The 14,085-nt window shown below is 38.7% G+C and overlaps 1 long non-coding RNA gene and 1 other non-coding gene across 2 annotated transcripts in view; one reads left to right on the forward strand and one right to left on the reverse strand.

The window, feature by feature from the left end:
- Window positions 1-14,085, forward strand: part of KBTBD6-DT (KBTBD6 divergent transcript) — a 103,759-nt gene that overhangs the window by 38,346 nt on the left and 51,328 nt on the right. The gene's annotated exons all lie outside the window — the stretch shown is intronic.
- Window positions 8,708-8,814, reverse strand: LOC124903260 (small nucleolar RNA U13). Its single transcript, XR_007063959.1, has one exon. It is a non-coding gene; the product is annotated as a small nucleolar RNA U13 (small nucleolar RNA).

Genomic DNA, 14,085 nt, shown 5'->3' on the forward strand with positions numbered 1-14,085 from the left:
AGGCTGGAGTGCAGTGGTGCAATCTCAGCTCACTGCAATCTCTGCCTCTCAGGTTCAAGCAATTCTCCTGCTTCAGCCTCCCCAAGTAGCTGGGATTACAGGCATGTGCCATCATGCCAGGCTAATTTTGTATTTTTTTAGTAGAGATGGGGTTTCACCAGGTTGGTCAAGTTGGTCTCGAACCCTGACCTCAGGTAATCCACCTGCCTCAGCCTCCCAAAGTGCTGGGATTATAGGCGTGAGCCACCGTGCCTGGCCTATAATTTTTGTTTCAATAATCAAATATGATTTATAAAATTCATGGTTTATGAAACATACCATTGTATGATTTATAAAACATGCTTTTGTATATGTTTGTATTTCTGCTCTTTCTGTTGTTCCTTTTTCCTTCCTAATCCTCTGAGATATTTGATCATTTATTTTCTATTTAAAGAACTTTCTGTAGCCAATCTTTAAGGATAAGTCTGCAAGCAACAAATTCTTTTATTTTTCATTCATCTGAGAATTCATTCCTAGAGAATAATTTTGGTAAATGTGAACTTTTCAGTAGAAAGTTATTTTCTTTTAGCAATTAAAAAATGCTGTACCAGCTGGACGAGGTGGCTCAGGCCTGTAATCCCAGTGACTCCACAGTCCAAGGTGGGAAAATCATTTAAGGCCAGGAGTTTGAGGCCAGCCTGTGCAACATAGCAAGATCCCGTCTCAGGGAGGGGGAGAGGGAAACTTAGTTGGGCATGGTGGTGCTCACCTGTAGTCCCAGCTACTCAGGAAGCTGAGGTGGGAGGATCACTTGAGCCCAGAAGTTGGAGGCTGCAGTGAGGCATGATTGAGCCACTTCACTCCAGCCTGGGTGACAGGGTGAGACCCACTTTGTTTAAAAAAAAAAAATAGCTGTGCCACTTCCTTCTGGTCTCCATGGTTTCAGATGAGAAATTGTCATTCAAATAGATATTACCCTATAGATAATGTGTCATTTTTCTTTGGTTTTTAAGATCTTTTCTTTAAGAAGTTTAACTGATTAAATTTGCACTTAGTTTTTAAGAAGTAATTTTTTTTTTTTTTTTTTTTTTTTTTGAGATGGAGTCTTGCTCTGTCACCAAGGCTGGAATGTGGTGGCGGGATCTCGGCTCCACTGCAAGCTCCGCCTCCTGGGTTCATACCATTCTCCTGCCTCAGCCTCCCAAGTAGCTGGGACTACAGGTGCCCGCCACCCATGCCCGGCTAATTTTTTGTATTTTTAGTAGAGACGGGGTTTCACCATGTTAGCCAGGATGGTCTTGATCTCCTGACCTCGTGATCTGCCCGCCTTGGCCTCCCAAAGTGTTGGGATTACAGGCGTGAGCCACTGCTCCTGGCAAAGAAGTTAATTTTGATGTGTCTTGGAATGGATTTCTTTGGGCTTAACCTGTTGGGATTTGCTCAGATTCTTGAATCTGTAGTTTTCTGTTTTTCAACAAATTTGGGAAGTTTCAGCAATTATTTTTTCAAGTACTCCTTCAGTTTCACTCTCTTCCACCACCACTCTCATGGAACTTTGGTGATGCAAATGTTGGCTATTTTGTTATTATCCTACAAGTCTCTGAGCCTCTGTTCATTTTTTCCTGTTTTTCTCTCTGTTGTTCAATTTGAGTGAATTCCACTGATTGTCCTGAAAGACTCTGATGCTATCCTCTGTTTTGTCCATTCTACTATTGCTGTTTTATTTCTGTTAGTTTATCTTTTGGTTTTGGTTTTGTTTTAGAGATGAGGTCTCACTATGTTGCCCAGGCTGGAGTGTAGTGGCTATTCACAGGCATGATTATAGTACACTACAGCTTCAAACTCCTGGGTTAAAATGATCCTCCTGCATCAGCCTCCTGAATAGCTAGGACACAGGTGCATGCCACCACACCCAGCTCTATTTTTCAGCGTTATAGGTTCCACTTAGTTCTTTTTTATTATTTCAATTTATTTGCTGAGATTTTTCGCTTTTTTTCCCATCGTTTTTAGAGAATTTTTAATAGGCTATTAAAGCATTTTTATGAAGGCTGTTTTGAAGTGCTTGCCAAATAATTCCAATACCTGATTCATCTGTATTGGTATCAGTTGATTGCCTTTTTCTCATTCAAGTTGTGACTTTCTTGGTTCTTGGTATGACTGATACTTTATATTATATGTTGGACATTTTCTTTGTAATATTAGGAGACAGTAATATTTTTTGATCATCTAGTTTATGCTAAACATTGTATTATGTGCTATCTTACATTATTTTAATGAAACTAAGATCTCTGAAAATATATTTTGCTGAGATTTGCACAATTACTGCATTTCTACAAAAATAATAATTTTTGGTTTACACTTTTCTACCAACAGTGTGTTTTAGGATTTCCATTTAATATAGAACTGAGCATATTAGTTAATCATTCAATAATTACATGTTCCAAGCATGAGAAGTATAGGACAGAATCCATTACTGAATTGTTCGACTTGGTGCAATGGCTCACATATCTGTTTTCCTTGAGTTCTTTTTTGAATAAAATATCCTCATGTGAAACTTAAGAGCCTTTGAGAAATACTGAGCAAAATGAAATTTGGAAAGTAATATATGATATTATAGTAGAAATTATGTTCAATATTTCATTACATTTATAATAAAAATAACATAGTTGATCATCCTCAAATCTATGAAATTCATCATAAACACATCATAAATGTCTTTTCTGTGCTCTCTGCACATTGTCATTTCATAAAAATGAACAATACTTAGACGTCCACACCAGTGATACATAGTTAATGATATGCTGACAGTTTAAAGACACAGTAGGGCTGGGCATGGTGGCTCACGCCTATAATCCCAGCACTTTGGGAGGCCAAGGTGAGAGGATCACCTGAGGTCGGGAGTTCGAGATCAGCCTGACCAACATGGAGAAAACCTGTCTCTACTAAAAATACAAAATTAGCCGGGCATGGTGGTGCATGCCTATAATCCCAGCTACTCGGGAGGCTCAGGCAGGAGAATCGCTTGAACCCAGGAGGCAGACGTTGCGGTGAGCTGAGATCATGCCACTGCACACCAGCCTGGGCAACAAGAGTGAAACTCTGTCTCAAAATAAATAAATAAATAAAGACACAGTAGTACATGGAGGCCAGAGGCACATGCAGATCCCCACCAAATACACACAAAATTAAACATTGGAATATGTATGACAGCCTTTAAAAAATTCATTTCCAAAGAAAATAAATACAAATCAGAGCAGATATGTAATCTTTTTTTTTCTTCTAGAGACAGGGTCTTGCTCTGTTGCCCAAACTGGAATGCAGTGATGGAATCATAGCTCAGTGTAATCTCTACCTCCTGGGATCAAGAGATCCTTCCACCTCAGCCTCCAGACTAGTTGGGACTACAGGCATGCACCACCATGCCCGGCTAATTTTAAGTTTTGTTATAGACATGGGGTCTTGCTGTATTGCCTAGGCTGGTCTTGCACTCCTACCCTCATGTGATCCTCCTGCCTTGGGCTCCTAAAATGCTGGGATTGCAGGCATGAGCCACTGTGCCTAGCTGAGATATGTAATCTTGAAAAGGAAAAATGGGTTCCACTTTATATTAATCTGATTGAAGAAATGATATAACCACAGAAATAATGCAAAGGAGAAAAGGGTACAAGAAAGTATGTAGCAACCAGAGGAGGGTAGGAGGAGCTCCAGCACAGAAGCCTAGGAAAGACTTGGCCATGCAATTATGGACCTTTAGATCTGGCTCTGTCCAGAAAAACTGTCCATTCGGGTCTCCCCCTACAGTGAAGACAAATGAACCAGCTTCTCACACCACCTTGACAGTGGTCATTAAGATCATCCAAATTGCTCTGTGAATTCTATGTCCATGTCCACCAAGCAAGCTTCTGACAGTAATTCATCTCTCATGAAAATTAGGCCACAAGAATATGTGCTAATCAGGGATCACCAGTATCTAGCTAATTGATATGAAAGTTATATTTTATAATTGTAAATTAATATATCAGTATCATATTTTTTGTATATTTGATTCTTATTGATTTGGTTAATATCGGGGGAACCAGCCCCTGATAATTCAATGTAAGTTCTTTTCTGTTTTCCCTAGGTGTTGGCCAGATTGAGAAATAAAGGGAAAGAGTACGAAAGAGAGAAATTTTAAAGCTGGGTGTCCGGGGGAGACATCATATGTCAGCAGGTTCCGTGATGCCCCTCAAGCCACAAAACCAGCAAGTTTTTATTAGTGATTTTCAAAGGGGAGGGAGTGTATGGGTCACAGAGATCACATGCTTCACAAGGCAATAAAATATCACAAGGCAAATGGGGGCAGAGCGAGATCACAGGACCAGGGCAAAATTAAAATTGCTAATGAAGTTTTGAGCACGCATTGTCATTGATAACATCTTACCAGGAGACAGGGTTTGAGAGCAGAAAACCGGTCTGACTAAAATTTACTAGGCAGGAATTTCCTCATCCTAATAGGCCTGGGAGTGCTACGGGAGACCGGGGCTTATTTCATCCCTTATCTGCAACCGTCTAAGACAGACACTCCCAGAGTGGCCATTTTAGAGACCTACCCCTGGGAATGCATTCTCTTTCTCAGGGCTGTTCCTTGCTGAGAAAAAGAATTCAGCGATATTTCTCCTATTTGCTTTTGTAAGAAGAGAAATATGGCTCTGTTCCACCCAGCTCTCAGGCCGTCAGACCTAATGGTTATCTCCCTTGTTCCCTGAACATCACTGTTATCCTGTTCTTTTTTCAAGGTGCCCAGATTTCATATTGTTTAAACACACATGCTTTACGAACAATTTGTGCAGTTAACGCAATCATCACAGGGTCCTGAGGCGACATACATCCTCAGCTTACAAAAATGACAGGATTAAGAGATAAAAGACAGGCATAGGAAATCATAAGAGTATTGATTAGGGAAGTGATAAATGTCTATGAAATCTTCACAATTTATGTTCAGATATTGCAGTAAAGACAGGCATAAGAAATTATAAAAGTATTAATTTGGGGAACTAATAAATGTCCATGAAATCTTCACAATTTATGTTCTTCTGCCATGGCTTCAGCCTGTCCCTCCATTCGGGGTCCCTGACTTCCCGCAACAGGTTAACCTGATTCCGTACCCAAACCCCATCACATCAAGGGTAGCAATACCTGAATATCTAAACTTCTAAAGCAGAGAAATAAACCTGGAACATGGTCACTCTACCAAGAAATTGTTACCAGACCTGTGTGGCTGGACACCTGATTCTCCCCTGGCAAATCTTCTATTTCATTCGGTCATCATCAATATTTTTTTCATTTTCAATTTTTAACAGTAGGCAGATATCTAAGTTTAACTGTCTCAAAGGTTTGATATATGACTTAGGGTTGTATATTATTCAGTGTTTATTTAAAAGAATAGAAAAGTCCAAAGACAGGTTCACAATAAGCAAAAATACATACATACATAAATAAGCTTGGAGACTTTTATAAGATTAAAATGAAGTTCTTACAAATACTTAAATCAAAATGCAGCAGGAGTTATGACAGCAAAATCTTCAGTCTTATTTTTAGAGACAGGGTCTCGCTATGTTGCCCAGACTGGACTTGAACTTCTGGGCTCATGTGATCCTCCCACCTCAGCCTCTTGAGTAGCTGGAATTATGGATGCACACCACCATGCCCATCTGAAAATCTGCAGTATTGACACTGCACTCTATAATGCCCTTCCTTATTGTTCTCTTGACAGTATCCCCACTGTATATTTGTGAAGATGGCTGAATGTATTGAAGTAGATACTGCTTTTATAACGTCAAAGCCATTATAATGTCAAAGCCATAACCATAAGGTTATGGGACTGTTAACTGGTGGGTATCACAACCCTGTTTATGAGAAAAGCATTCAGAACTGCATAGGGGAAGGTGTAGTGAAATATTTATTATAGGATATATCTTGGAGCTGGCATATTCCAAGATAGGCCATGGAATATGACTCTTTTTTTTGAGATGGAGTCTTGCCCTGTCACCCAGGCTGGAATGGAGTGGCATGATCTCGGCTCACTGCAACTTCCACCTCCCGGGTTCAAGCACTTTTCTGCCTCAGCCTACAGAGTAGCTGGGATTACAGGCACCTGCCACCATGCCTGGCTAATTTTTGTATTTTTAGTAGAGACAGGGTTCCACCATCTTGGCCAGGCTGGTCTTGAACTCCTGACCTCGTGATCCACCCGCCTCAGCCTCCCAAAGTGTTGGGATTACAGGTGTGACCCACCACGCCTGGCCAGGAACGTGACTCTTAGTAGTGCTTGTGACCAAAACCTACAGAAGAGAAAATGCAGTGTAATATAGAAGTAACCCTTAGAATGACTAATCCAGTTGGATAAAACTCTTCTCTGTTTCTGTACCTACAATGTGAGGGGATGGGAGGTGGGAAAAGTTTGGAAAGTACCTTATACTGGACCTTTTCTGTAGAACTCTCAATTTTTGTACTATTATCATTTGCTAATTTGACATGAAATTTAAGCAACCAGCAATGAGGAAATACTTAGACTGTAACAGAGCTCTTCAGAGTTCTTTGTTTTGCAACAATCACCTTTCAAAACTTCCCTAACAACTTGGACAGACAAACCCAGTCGAATTTACAGATGCTTGTGGAAAGGTTAGAGAATTTGAAAGAAATAAAAAAGAGTTGGGAGTGAATATGTGTGTCTTACTGCTTCGGTTTTGTTTCCTAGCATTTATTGGTTCAAATAGATTTGTTGCTTTGCTGACTCTCTGCTATCTTCATAAAAGATAAGAAAACCTCTCAGCGTCCCTCTATAGTGTGAGAAACATGATTTATAATAACATTATTTCATAATTGAAAGTATTGTTTCGTTGTCTGGGAAAATGAGCGCATCAGAATTAACTTGTAGTTTTAGAGGCCAGTGGGTTGCTATAACAACCAGAAAAACAATGGTGTAATAACACCTCTCCCTGAAAGCTGGAGAACTCACTAAATGACGAGAGCTACAGATGCAAGCGTTTGTCATATGAATTCAAACAAGAACCAAATACATTCATTTATTTCTTTCATGAGCACTGACTCCATGCCTGGCACTATGCTAGGAACTGGTGAAATAGACGTGGTCCCTCCTGTGATGGAGTGAACAATCTAATGGAGAAGACCGATAATAAACAGTTTAAAAAAAAAGATAAATGGAATAATTTCAGCATGTTTAAGGCCCTTTGGTAGAGAAAGCATTGTTCTCTGATACTGGACAAGCAGAGAAGGGTTGCTCCAGTATGGGACATGGAGAAGCACCTGGTCATATCATAAATCTTGCCTTTAAGGCTATATGAGCTCTAGTAAAGTGAAGGAAAAAAAGAATGGAGTCTTACAGTCTTTATTAGTAAAAATAATTTAAGGGAAGAAACTGCTAACTGAAGCATGATCATTTTTTACTAGAAGGGTTTAACACGTAAATTCCCAGAATTCTTGAATTAGGAGGATTCAACATTAAAATAAGAGTTATTTGTGTGTTTTAAAACAGTATTGTTTTGGGCCAGGCGCGGTGGCTCACACCTATAATCCCAACACTTTGGGAGGCCGGGAGGCCAAGGCAAGTGGATCACCTGAGGTCAAGAGTCCGAGACCAGCCTGGCCAACATGGTGAAACCCCATCTCTACTAAAAATACAAAAATTAGTCGAGCGTGGTGGCACATGACTGTAGTCCCAGCTACTCGGGGGGCTGAGGCGGGGCAATCGCTTTAACCCAGGAGGCAGAGGTTGCAGTGAGCCGAGATTGCGTCACTGCACTCCAGCCTGGGTGACAGAAAAAAAAAAAAGTATTGTTTTATTTCAGCTTTACTCATAATAGCCAAAAACTGGAAACAAGCAAATAAAACCAAATGTCCTTCAGTGGATGAATGATTAAACAAACTGTGTTATATACATACCATGGAATACTCTGGCAATAAAAAGGAAATGAACTTTTTTTTAAGAATAAAAGCTTTATTGAGATATAATTCACATACCATAAAGTTCATCTTTTTAAAGTTTAAAGTTCAGTTGTTTTTAGAACACTGACAATACAAACACTACTTAGATAATTGTGCAAAAATCACCAGTAATTCCAAAACACTGTCATTACTCCCAAAAGAATCTCCATATCTATTAGCATTACCATATCTATTAGCATTACTCCCCATTTCCACCTTATTGTCCATATGTTCACGCCCCAGACCTAAGCAATCCTTAATCTATTCTCTGTCTCTATGGATTTGCTGATTCTGAATCTCTCATATAAATGGAATCACACAATATGTTTCCTTCTGTTTCTGGCTTCTTTAGCTTAATATGCTCAAGAGTCATCTCTGTTATAGCATGCATCAGAACTCTATTTTTTTATGGATAAATAAGATTCCATTGCACTGATATTGACCTTTTGCTCATCTATTTGTCAGTTGATGAGCATTCGGGTTTTTCCTCCTTTTTGTCGGTTATGAATAATGCTGCTATGAACATTAGTGTACCAGTTTTTTCTGTACATATGTTTCCAGTTCTCTTGGTTATGTACCTAGGAGTGGAATTGCTGAGTCATATGGTATCTCTGTTAACTTTCTGAGGAACAGAAAACTGTTTTCCAAAGCCATTGTACCATTTTACACTCCTACCAGCAGGTATGAGGATTTCAGTTTTTCCACATCCTTGCCATCCTTGCTTTTGTCTTTTTTTGAATTTTCATGTCAAAGGGGTAATGTTCCAATGAGGTCATAACAAGGCTTGGGGAAGGCACATTTCACACATGCACGTGAAACCCCAGTCATCACGCTTATAAACTACAAAAGGATCTGCTTTTGCTTTTTATTATAGCCATCCAAGTAGGTGTAAAGTGGTATTTCCTTGTGGTTTCATTTGTATTTCCCTAATGTGTTGAGTATCTTTTCATGTGCTTGTTGGTCATTTGTCTATCTTGTTTGAAGCAATGTCTGTTCAAATCTTTTCTCAATTTTTCAGTTGGGTTATTTGTCTTTTTATTGTTGAATTGTATCAGTTCTTTACATATTCTAGACACATGTCCCTTATCAGATATATGATTTGCAAATATTTTCTCCCGGTGTGTGAGTTGTTTTTTTACTTTTTTTTCACTCACATTATGTATGTTGATGTTATGATTTGAAGCACAAAAGTTTCATTTTGGTTAAGTCTAATTTCTTTTGTTGAACTACTGATTGTTTTTTAAGAAATAAATGCCCTGTACATCAAGCTGTATACAGAGTGTACTCTGAAATAGGTCGAATTAAAAGAAGTCCTGATTATGGAGATTTTCAGTGAGCTGTTAGGTCAACTCGTGGTTAATTCTCTGGGAATGAGCCTTTTTGGGCTTCAAATCTGTTCTTTTCTCTCCAGTGGCTGCTAAGCTCTACTTTCCACAACTACTATAAATGTGAAGCTATTGAGTTTCAAGGCTTCCATGGAACTGGGGAGAGGTGTATAGGATTAGAGCAAGTTAAAACACTATAGGCTTTCCGTTCTTACTGAGATTCAGCTGTTTTTCTTAGGTAAACATTCCTTGGAATGTGGCAAGCTTTTGTTAATTTCCACAATTCTAATAAGTTTATGTCAACAGCTTTTGCTAATGTCCTCATTGCTTTTATGGAGGAGCAGATTCTCGGTGTGACATTACTGTACCATTTGGAATGTCTACTGATATACACGATAACTTGGATAAATCTCAAGAGAATTATGCTGAGTGAAAACATGATCTCAAAAGATTAAATACAGTATGATTCCATTTATATAACTTTTTTTTCTTTGAGATAGGGTCTTGCTCTGTCGCCCAGGCTGCAGTGCAGCAGCACAGTCATAGCTCACTGTAACCTCAAACTCCTGGGCTCAAGTGATCCTTCTGTCTCGACCTCCCGAGTAGCTAGAATTACAGCCACCACACCTGGCTAATTAAAAAATTTTTTTGTAGAGATGTGGTCTTGCTATGTTGCCCAGGCTGGTTTGAAACTCCTGACCACACATGATCCTGCTGCCTCAACCTTCCAAAGCACTGGGATTACAGGCATAAGTCACCATGCCCACCCTATATAACAAATTTAAAATGACAAAATTACAGAGATGAATTACAGATTAGGGGTTGACTAGGGAGATGAGGAGGGAAAAGCCTGTGGCTATAAAAGCAAGGCACTGGCTGGGCACAGTGGCTCACGCCTATAATCCCAGCACTTTGGGAGGCCAAGGTGGGCGGATCACCTGAGGTCGGAAGTTCGAGACCAGCCTGACCAACACGGAGAAACTCTGTCTCTACTGAAAATACAAAATTAGCTGGGCGTGGTGGAGCATGCCTGTGATCCCAGCTACTTGGGAGGCTGAGGCAAGGAGAATCACTTGAACCTGGGAGGTGGAGGTTGTGGTGAGCCGAGATCGCCCCATTGCACTCCAGCCTGGGCAACAAGAGCAAAACTCTGTCTTAAAAAAAAAAAAAAAAAAAAAAAAAAAAGCATGGCACAAAGGATATTTGTAATAGAACTATTTTATATCTTGACTGTGTTGATGTTCTCATGAATCTACATGTTAATAAACTTCATAGATTTAAATATACACACACCAAACGCATGCATGTAAAAGTGGTAAAATGTGAATTTTAATGATTTGTATCAATGTCATTTTCTTGGTTGTGATATTTTACTATAGTTGTGCAAAGTGTTACCATTGGGAAAAACAAGTGAAGGATATACAGGATCTCTCTGTATTATTTCTCACAACTGCATGTGAATTTACAATAATCTCAAATTTTTGTTTGTAAAACAAAAAGGAGTATCATAGCTCATAATAGAAATTATATAAGGAAAATTATATTACATAATTGAGAGAAGCAATTCAAAATATTCTCTGGCAGCTGTTTTGAGGTTTTTATAAACACAAAATGATACTGTAAATATATATTGAATATATTAATACTAGGATTCCCTGATTAAGATAGCACAAGAACTGAGTGAGCAACTAAGTTCTGAATAGATGATTATGGCTAATGAGGTGGGCTTCAATAGAAGGGCAGATAAGTACATTACTCCATATACCACTGCAAAAATGATTCAGGCACAGAAAATGCTCTGTAGCCTAACTTTTGTGAGGTACCCCTTCCTAAAACATTCATATATGTGATTCATTTAAAATAGAATTGCAGAATCATAGGTGTTTCAACAAGTATAGGCATGAATGATTCTGTAATAAGCTAAACAAGACAAAGCTCCACCAAGATGCTTGGAACATGCTAGAACTGAGTTAAAACTGAATATGGTATATTTCTTATCCCTCATATAACTAAAAAACATTCATAAATATATATATGTATATATACATATATATATATTTTTTAGAGACAGGGTCTCACTCTGTCACTCAGGCGGGAATGCAATGGCGTGATCATAGCTCATTGCAGCCTCAAACTCATGGGCTCAAGTGATCATCTCTCCTCAGCCTCCCAAGTAGCTAGGACAACAGGCATGCACAACCACACCTAATTTTTTTTTTTTAATTTTTATTTTGTAGAGGCAGGGTCTCACTATGTTGCTGAGGCTTATCGTGAATGCCTGGCCTCAAGCAATCCTGCCTAGGCCTCCCAAAGTGCTGGGATTACAGGCATAAGCCACCATGCTCAGCCTAAAAATGGCATATTCTGGTGTCTAATATCTAATCTGAAGAAATTTCAAGGTACCACTCATAAAATGTGTCCCCAGCATCCTATTATTCCAAAGACTTCAACTTAATTTTGTCATATTTACTTTCAAGGCAAAATGGAACCCTTCTATGTTGATAAAATGTTTTATATATGGTAAGATTTGAGGACTTTACATATTTAGAGGAATTCTTGTTTTAGATATATTATTAGTATGTCTTCATCAAAAAGATGTGAAATCCGTTAAAGCCCCACCTCCACAGATCTCATTTTAAACACTAGGGTATGCCTCCCCTTTCTCCAAATCTTCTAGGTTTCCTGACAAGTTGTACAGTTGGCTGATTCTAGTTTTCTGTCATTTCTCCCTTCTTTTTTTTTTTTGGAGATGGAGTCTCACTCTATCGCCCAGGCTGGAGTGCAGTGGCGTGATCTTGGCTCACTGCAACCTCCTCCTCCCCGGTTCAAGCAATTCTCCTGTCTCAGCCTCCCGAGTAGCAAGGACTACAGGCGCACACCACCACACCCGGCTAATTTTTTGTATTTTAGTGGAGATGGGGTTTCATTGTGTTGCCCAGGCTGGTCTCGAACTCCTGACCCCAGGCAATCCACCCACCTTGGCCTCCCAACATTTCTCCCTTCTTTAACATTAACAAACAGAGCTGACATGAGAAAAAGACACAAAGTTCTTAGAACATTGTGAACTGGATACACAGCTATTAAGAGTCCTTGGTATTTCAGATATCTCAAGCATTATTATCAGCATGGTAACTTTAAGGTTGATTCCAGGTATAATTAAATATCTCATGATAGTAAACGCACAAAGGCTTTTGAAAAGTTTAGATTGCATTTTGAAATAAATATGATGTGATATCTTTAAATTTTTACTGTAATACTGTGCAAATTGTTTAGATTTAGAAATGATTTTATTGCTCCTTAAGCATTCATTCAATTCTTATTCAGGGAATACACAGAACATAGGTAGTATTTGGGAAGGTACATCTTATTATTACCTTGATATAATTATATCATAACTGTGAATTTAAATATAAAAATAATTTAATATTTATTAAATTAGCTAAATGCTCTCATTGAGATTATCTGAACTGACATGGTCAAAATAAAATACAAAAAAATATAAATACTAAATAGAATACTAAAATATAAGCATAATATAACACTAAAAATAATACTGTGTTTTAATACTTTAAAACTTATCATCACTGAAGGGTTTGATTGGGTTTTGTTTTCAGTTAAAGCCAATTTTTCACACTCCTTCTCCATTGTTCTAAGATGACTTTTAGTTGGGCCGTCTCTTGATTCAGAGTTCTGAGTAAAGAGTCAGAAATTCCAGACCACGTGCCCTAAGGTGCATCAGGACTAGACTGGAGGACCAAATAAATCTCAAGCAGAGCAATAGTCCAGGTGTGGTGGCTCACACCTGTAATCCCAGCACTTTGGGAGGCCAAGGCAGGCTGATCCCTTGAGCTTAGGAGTTCAAGACCAGCCTGAGCAACATGGTAAAATCCTGTCTCTACAAAAAATACAAAAAAAAAAAAAGAACAATAGTGATTTTACTTTCTGAGTCCTGTTTGAGGTAGTGCTATTCAGCAGGCAAGAGTGTGTACTAGAAAGTGCTTTAAGAGATAGGAAACACAGTTCTAATTCCAGTTTTATGAATAACTAGCAGTACAAGCCTTGGTAAATTATTTAAAGTTCCTTGGGTTTATATAAGAAAACTGGGCTCTACCAGGGAGGTTGAGGCTTCAGTGAGCTGTGATCACACCACTAGACACCAGCCTGGGCAACAGAGTGAGACCCTGTCTCAATTAAAAAATAAAAAAAGAAAATTGGGCTCTAATATTCATGATTCTAACTGACAAAAAATTAAGAATCAACTTATGATGAAGAACAATATACAGAAATTCAGGCCACTAAAGGATTATGTAAAAACATAAATTTATATTATATATATCTTACATTGTTAAGATCTAGAATATGAGCGGTTCTATTTTACAGTAACACTTCCAATATTAAATGTTTTTTCAACTGTGTTCAAGGCTCTTTGATTAGTGTTATGAGGGCTATAAAGATGAAATAAACCTTATCCCCTGATCTCAGGAAGCTTACCAGTTAGTAGGTTCACCCTCTCTTCAAGCACCCTTGCCCATGGGGGTCCCCTTTCAGCAGAAATTCTTGCATTCTAATTCAAAGAAAGAAAACATTAGAGGTATAAGCTACCTGATGTCCAAAGCCATACCCAGAAATTCATCTCCATCTATATCAACCTTTCCCTTCTGCCATAGCTGTAGCTTAATCAGAGGTGGGCCAAAGGCCTGTGATATGGGACACCAAATACATCTACTAATGTCTCCAAATCAAGACTCCCGTGTTCCCAAATCCATTAAACAGCAGCACCATCCATTTAGTCAACTGT

Source organism: Homo sapiens, chromosome 13 (genome assembly GCF_000001405.40).
Source record: "Homo sapiens chromosome 13, GRCh38.p14 Primary Assembly".
In the NCBI taxonomy this organism is placed as follows: Eukaryota; Metazoa; Chordata; class Mammalia; order Primates; family Hominidae; genus Homo; species Homo sapiens.